The 6975-nt window shown below is 46.3% G+C and overlaps 1 long non-coding RNA gene across 1 annotated transcript, besides 2 other annotated features; it reads right to left on the bottom strand.

Annotated features, from left to right (window-relative positions):
- Positions 1-799: 799 nt before the first annotated feature.
- Positions 800-5336, bottom strand: LOC124906066 (uncharacterized). The gene is made up of 2 exons (XR_007087190.1): positions 3651-5336; positions 800-2936 (listed from the first exon to the last, which is right to left on the bottom strand). It is a non-coding gene; the product is annotated as an uncharacterized LOC124906066 (long non-coding RNA).
- Positions 4556-5057: an enhancer, noted in NCBI's record as "NANOG hESC enhancer chr2:112290355-112290856 (GRCh37/hg19 assembly coordinates)". NCBI's record gives its function as "activates a minimal SCP1, AML or CMV promoter by ChIP-STARR-seq in naive H9 embryonic stem cells {active_cell/tissue: H9 hESC(naive)}" and the evidence as "EXISTENCE:reporter gene assay evidence [ECO:0000049][PMID:30033119]".
- Positions 5560-6059: an enhancer, noted in NCBI's record as "H3K4me1 hESC enhancer chr2:112289353-112289852 (GRCh37/hg19 assembly coordinates)". NCBI's record gives its function as "activates a minimal SCP1, AML or CMV promoter by ChIP-STARR-seq in naive H9 embryonic stem cells {active_cell/tissue: H9 hESC(naive)}" and the evidence as "EXISTENCE:reporter gene assay evidence [ECO:0000049][PMID:30033119]".

Here is a 6975-nt window from a genome sequence, read left to right as displayed (position 1 = left end):
CTTGCAGTGAGCCGAGATCATGCCCTTGCACTCCAGTCTGGTGACAGAGCGAGACTCCATCTCAAAAAAAAAAAAAAAAAAAAAAAATAGAAAAAAAGAACATCTTTGTTTTTGGGCTTGGGCGCCGCTCTGTGATGGGTGCAGGGATGCAGTGGACGGAGACGTGCAGTCCAGTCAGCAGGGGCGAGTCCCACCAGGGAGCCTCCCTCTGCACCCACGCCACATCCACGAAAGGCCCTGAACTGTGCTTACGGTTTTCTCTATCCTACCCCACAAAAGTCTGGTGGTCATGATAGCTACAGGAGGGAAAATGTTTTTTAACCACCTCACCACCAATGGTTTTAGAATTCACGCACTCTGCTGCTGCTTCTCAATGATACCTACTTTCATGTCGTCTTTCCGCTCACCACAGCTTCTCACCAGACACCCCCCAATGGGTAAGTCACAAAACCCAGCTGAAGAACAGCCAAGACTCCACCAGGCTTCAGACCTCAGCACCCGAGCCCTAGCGTGGGCCGTCCACTTGCTGGGGGAGAGAGGCTCTATCCCAGCTTGGCACAGGACACCCCGGGGCCAGCGTGGCCTGGGTCAGGCAAGCGCAGAACCTGGGCTTGCTGGGGCACCCCAGAGTCTGGAGGGAGACCCCCCAGCTCACAAAACTGTCTGGAAATTGAACGGAAAGATCTTAAAGGCATAACTTTTGTTACATAGAATGAAGTCCCATTTTATCCGCCCAGGAATATTTATTCATTGAGGACCCTATCTGTGTGTGGCGCTGTGTAAGTTCACTAAAAAAGACTTGGCAGGACGGTCTTTATTAGTCATGTGTGTAAAATCTGACCCTCCAGGTTAGCATCCGGCCAGGTGTTTGTTCACTTCAAATGCTCATTGAGTGACTTCTAGGAGGTACACATCGTGCGGGGTGCTGAGAAGGCACGGTAGCTACAGACGCAGAGAACTGCTGAGCAGGGGAGTGACCACCCTGGGTAGCCCTTGTTGATGTGATTGGTAATTGCTCTGGGGAGGCAGGTGGCACTGGGGCACGGAAGGGCCCAGATACTTGAGGGAAAGTGCCTGCACCGTCAGCCTGCCAAGGGCTGCAAGGGTTGTATCCCGCGTCTCTCAAGCATCACATCATCAGCCCTTCAGATGTGTCAAGTCATTTAATTCCCACAACAGCCTGATGAAGTAGGCACTGCTATTCTATTCTCCCTGCTTTTTCTATGGGGAAGTTGATGCATGGAGAAGTTAGATAACTTGCCTGAGGTCACACAGCTAACCTGGCAGTTCTTGAAGGTAACTCACAACAGATTTCCTCTAAATTAAATTCCATTCGGGCATTCAAAATAGAATTCTTTTCACAAAATGCATTTCACAACTTTTTCAGAAGACAGCAGTTGTTCACAGTGAATAAGCATTCAGCAGGTGGGCATGGCTAGAGCTGGGATGTTTGTCTCCACCAAATCTCATGTTGAAATTTGATCCCCAGTGTTAAGAAGTGGGGCCTAATGGGAGGTGTTTGGGTCATGAGGGTGAATCCTTCATGATAGATGAATGTCCTCCCTGGGTAGGGTGAGGGAGAATGAGTTCTCACTCTGTTAGTTTGTGAGAGCTGGTTGTTAAAAAGAGTGGATCACTTGAGGTCAGGAGTTCAAGACCAGCCTGGCCAACATGGCGAAACCACATCTCTACTAAAAATACAAAAAAATAAAAAAAATTAGCCGGGTGTGGTGGCGTGCACCTGTAATCACAGCTACTCAGGAGACTGAGGCAGGAGAATCGCTTGAACCTGGAATGTGGAGGTTGCAGTGAGCCGAGATCACACCATTGCACTCCAATCTGGACGTCAGAGCGAGACTCCATCTCAAAAAAAAAAAAAAAAAAAAAGAGCTTGGCACCTTCGTGTCCTCTTTCTTGCTTCTCCTCTCATGATGTGATCTCTGCACAGGGCTCCCCTTCACCTTCCACCGTAAGCAGATGCAGCCTGAAGCCCTCTTTGGAAGCAGATGCTGACACCCTGCTTGTACAGTCTGCAGACCCATGAGCCAGATACACCTCTTTTAAAAGTAAATACCCAGCCTCAGATATTTCTTCATAGCAAAACTACACAGACTGAGACAGGCATCCTAGCAGACTTCCCTCACGTGACCTCTGGCCAACTTTGCTTTCACATCAGCTGGTCAGAAACTTTCCTCCCCTGTTTTTGCACCAGGTGACCCTTCCTGCTCCTGTTAGGCTGACCCAGCAGAGATCCTTCTGCCCTGTCTACCTACAAGGCTGTTCTAACTGAGATAAGCATTGTAAAGGATGCCTGTCCTTGTCCTGGGCAAATGCCAGCTTCTTTCTGCAGAGTTTAATCCTTCAGGAATGTTTTGTTTTTCAGTTGTCTTCATTCAGTTAATAGATTTAAGTGTTTTCTTGATTCAGTAAACAGATCCCTTCCAGCTGTTCTCATTTGTTTTAGGGAACTACCTTTTGCCTATGGGAAGGATTCAGTGGGAATGGGAGAATCCCACAGAAAGACCCTCCAGTCTGTGTGACTGGCTGTAGTTCAGTGGAGTTCAGCTCATGCGTGGGGCACCTGCTGTGTTCAGACCTAGTCAGTCCTGTCCTCAAGGAAGGAGGGCTGGTCTGTGTGGGGAGGGGGCAGAGCTGTAGGAGTTCTTTCTGTGTCTCTCAGTGGGGAACCATGGCTTTTTGTTTTCTCATTCAAATATCTGAAAATATTTTATAGTCAAGCTTTGCAATCATTTCCTTAAAGGGTGTTTTCAAAAGTAGAGGGCTGGCTGCTTCACGTGGCAATATGACGTCAGGCCCATTAAACGGCCAGTGCTCAGTGAAGAGTGGTTTTCATGGTGAGGGCAACATAACAATGTTTCTGGGGTGCATCTACTGAATGGGAGGCATTGTACCATGTGCCCTGTCGCTTGGAATCCCTGGAAGAAAGCAGAACCGAGAAGAGAAGCCCGGGTTTAAAGCTGTGGTTTCTTTTTTGCAAGATAAAAACCATGTGATTTAGATATATGCAAACAAATCTTGAGTTAAAGGAAACTGAGTTTCAAATTAGATAATTGTCTCTGAGAAAGGCATTCATATATCTCATATTTCATTTCTAACTTTTTATCATAGAACATCTTAAACATACACCAAAATAGAGAAAATTATAATGAGCTCCCATCTGTCACTTGCCTTCAACAATGATCAACTTATGGCCAATTATGTTTCAGCTACAACCCAATCTCGCCCCATTCTAATTTTTTTAAAGCGTATCCTAAACATTGTATCATTTTATCTGTAAATATTTTAGTATATATCTCTAAATATATATGAACTCTTATTTTTAATAGACATAATCGTAATCATCATGATTTTAGGAAATGATTTTAATAAAAATCACACCCAATTCACGAAGTTAAAAAACCCTCCCAATATTCACACCCTTCTCATTACTCTTGGTTTTAAATGACTTTTCCTGTTGTTTGAAGCCCGCGTTGCAGTCTGACTCTGATCCTTCCAAAAACTGCTCCTAGAGAAGCTAGAGGTACGCTCTGAGATTAAGCTACCTCAACTTCAAGCCTCTGGATTCTGGGAGGAGTTGAGTCCACCCTCTGATCTAGAGTTTCCAGGCATGGCTTTGTGAATGCACCTACCTTCTTCCCGGATTTTTGCCCGTCTGACCCTCTTACACGAGAACATCCCCATGCATGGCTGTGGAAAATCCTCAAGTGCAGTGAAGGCAAGACTGAAAACAGAGCCGCTGCCAAACAGAGCAGCAAGTTGAAGGGCAAGTGCCTGTCAACACAATCCCCTTGAAAGACTATAAAGAGCTGCCAAAACATGAGATGCATCTGACATCCAGATAGTATTAGCTGACTGCTTCCCAAATGGGTTAGCTGTCTACAGAAACGCCCTAGGTAGCTGATATGAATCGCAAATGTGCTGTGACTTGATTAATTTGTAACAGTCAGAAATTAGGTAGTTCAGTGCTAGTCATGCTCAAGCTCAGTAGTAGCTGGTTTAGTTGTTTTTTGCTTTTTTCTGTTTGTAATTGGATCTAGGATGATAGTGTACCATCCCCCAGCAGTCATAGAAGACATGGTAAAAACTAGCTTTACACGGGTCCTGGACTTGAGGTCACGGGTGTGGAAGGTGATTCACTAGGGAGTTGGCTCTTAGCTTAGTGGGTCATGTATTTCTGAGAAGCTTCTTTCCTGAGGTTTACAGTCAGTTTCAGAGGTGAATGAACTGCTTCAGATGATCAGAAAGATACACTCTGTCATTATTCCCCCAAGAATAATCTTTGCTTCTGTAGTTACATTAAAGCTAAATTTTGCTGCCAGAGTAGGAGCCATCCATTATATTATAATCGATGACATGAATGTTTTGCTCAAGTTCAGATGTCTAATAAGAGTCATTTTCTTTCCGAGGGAGTGTTATCAGTTTCATGAATATGCGCTCTGTATTTCATTAGCATTCTTCTAGCAAAACATGATTCTGAGTCATTTCTGAAATATCTGCTCTCGCCTGCAACTTGTTTCTCAGTTTTTACAAAAATTGCCTTTTCTACTTACTGGCAGAAAAGTTTGATACCGCACGAGCCTAAAATGGGTATGCTGAGAAAAAACACAGCACACCTATGGAACCGTGACCACAACAGTGCATCGGTCTCTGTCCCACCGTCTCATTCGAGGTTAATCCCTCTCCACAGGGCGGCACCTCAGCAGGGAAGGGCGAGTCTGAGGACTGAGGGTAAACAGTCATGACATGGGTATTCACTATCATGGCTTTCTTAGATTTTTAAGCCAGAATGAAGTTCAGAGAGCTTGTCAGAGGATGTTGAATGAACAGAAAAGGAAATTTGGAACCCATATGAAAAGAGCTGCTTTATGAATCACAGAGAGCTTTTGAGTTCCAGCTTACAGTAATTCAAACACCACTCACTTATATTCAACTGAGAGCAGCTCTGGCCCAGCCTTGTCCCCTGACCCCGGGGACACTTTCTCTAGGATGAACAAGAGAAGATGTTCTCCACTGTACTAGCTGCCAGTGTGTTTCTTTCAACCGAGGAAGTATCTATGTCTCTTATTCTATGTCATTATTGTAAGAATGGTCTACCTTGATCCTTAGAAGCCAACCAGGATGGAGTCCCATTTTGCAGAGTCTGCTGTGACTGCCAGCCACCCCTGTACCATGGACTTCCACAGCAATGATGCTGTGCTGCATCTCCATCCAAAGGGATTGCATCTGTTTTAATTGCTTGACTTTCAAGGACACTCAGGGACAGGTACTCTTCCATAATTCTACGTCATCCCAGTTTCACGGGGGCATGAATCCCCCATCCCCTGCAAGGTCTACTGCTCTCCAAAGTGTGTGTCTTTGAGATGGAGGCTCTTCACAGGGTTCACCACCTCTGCAAGTAGGGCTGTGACAACTCAGCCTTGTGCACTGCCACAAAAGGCCCTTCAAGAGCTTCTAGAAATTTCTGGCTCACAGAAGCCACTGGAATACTGTAAATGGAGTTGGTTTTGGTGGCTCTGTCCTTTGATGGGAGGCTCTGTCTCCTGAGGCCAAGATTGAAGGCAGGATCTGAAGATTGTGCGCCTGGATCAACTCTAATCCTTTCCAGCCCAAGAGAGTTGTTCTTGCTTCTTCTTGGACTGTTGTGAGAAACTTCCACACTGACTGCTTGGAAGTGTCACATGTTGGACCTCTTGGTACCAGTGTCTCTGACAGACTCATACCACTGGGAGCTCAGAGCGAGTGGCTGAGGCCAGCAGAGCTGAACACTTAGTGCCCTGTCCCTGCATTCTGTGGGATCAAGAATGAACTGGAAGTAGGATGCCGCCCTAGAGGAGGCACAGGTGCTACAGAGGCAGCTCAGCTCAGGAAGCGGACGTGAACCCCTTCCTACCCCCCATTAGTGCTGTGGCCATGAGGCCCCCTCACCTGAGGGGGAACACCTCTGTCAGCCTGGCTATCTGCCACCAACAAACACATTTTCCTGGGAAGGGGCCTGGATTCCTCCAGTTGAGCCTCCTTAGATGCACAGGTTGCACCAGGGTGGAGGCCACAGCCAAAACCAAACAGTGTAGCATGAACAGGCCAGGCTCCCAGACTGGGAAGGGAGGACTGCCTGGAGGCAGCAGGAGGCTGGAGCCACATTTGCCTGCAAAAAGTCTTTTCAGACGCACATCTCAGGCCAGTTACGCAACTGGCTCCTGGATCCCTCTGCCCAGGCCCAGTCCCTCCCATTGCCTCTCAGTGTAAAGCAGGGAATGCTGCAGGATGGAGAGTCCTAAGCCTTAATCGTGGATCTTGGGATTCAGAGTCCAGAGAGGATAAAGAAGCAAATTCACAGTCAACACTTCCTTTTTTTGGATGTTTACCATAGTGAAGTTTTGTGCAAAGTGCTATGGGGACATGATCTGACACATCATGTTCCCCCACCCTCCCGGCCCAGGATCTGAAGGTCCAGCAGGAGAGGCAAGCCAATGCTAACCAAGGCTCAATCTGATGCAGGGACACAGACTGCTCTGGACTTCCGTATATGTCTTTAAAAATATATATATATCTTTAGGCTGGGCGTGGCGGCTCACGCCTGTAATCCCAGCACTCTGGGAAGCCGAGGTGGGTGGATCACTTGAAGTCAGGAGTTGGAGACCAACATGGTGAAACCGCATTTATTTATTTTATATATATATAATTTTATTAATAAATACCCTGGAAGGACCTTGGTCCTTTAACGTGCTGGCACCTATAGCAGGGACCAAATTTGTACTTTTACAAACTGTCTGTACTGGTCTAAGGAGGAGCAGAGGCGCACATACAATAGCTGCTTATGCAGAATCACTGGAAAACAGGTGATTCCTGAACGTTGCTAGATGAATATAACTCAGAAACAACCCACAGCCTAGATTAGTAATCTGTGAAAGTTGGAGACCAAATGAAATTTGTTTAGCAATAAAATGCTTTTGA

This window comes from Homo sapiens, chromosome 2, assembly GCF_000001405.40.
Source record: "Homo sapiens chromosome 2, GRCh38.p14 Primary Assembly".
Lineage (NCBI taxonomy): Eukaryota > Metazoa > Chordata > Mammalia > Primates > Hominidae > Homo > Homo sapiens.
The sequence above is the reverse complement of the archived record's forward strand: the minus strand, read 5'-3'. Positions and strand labels throughout refer to the sequence as shown.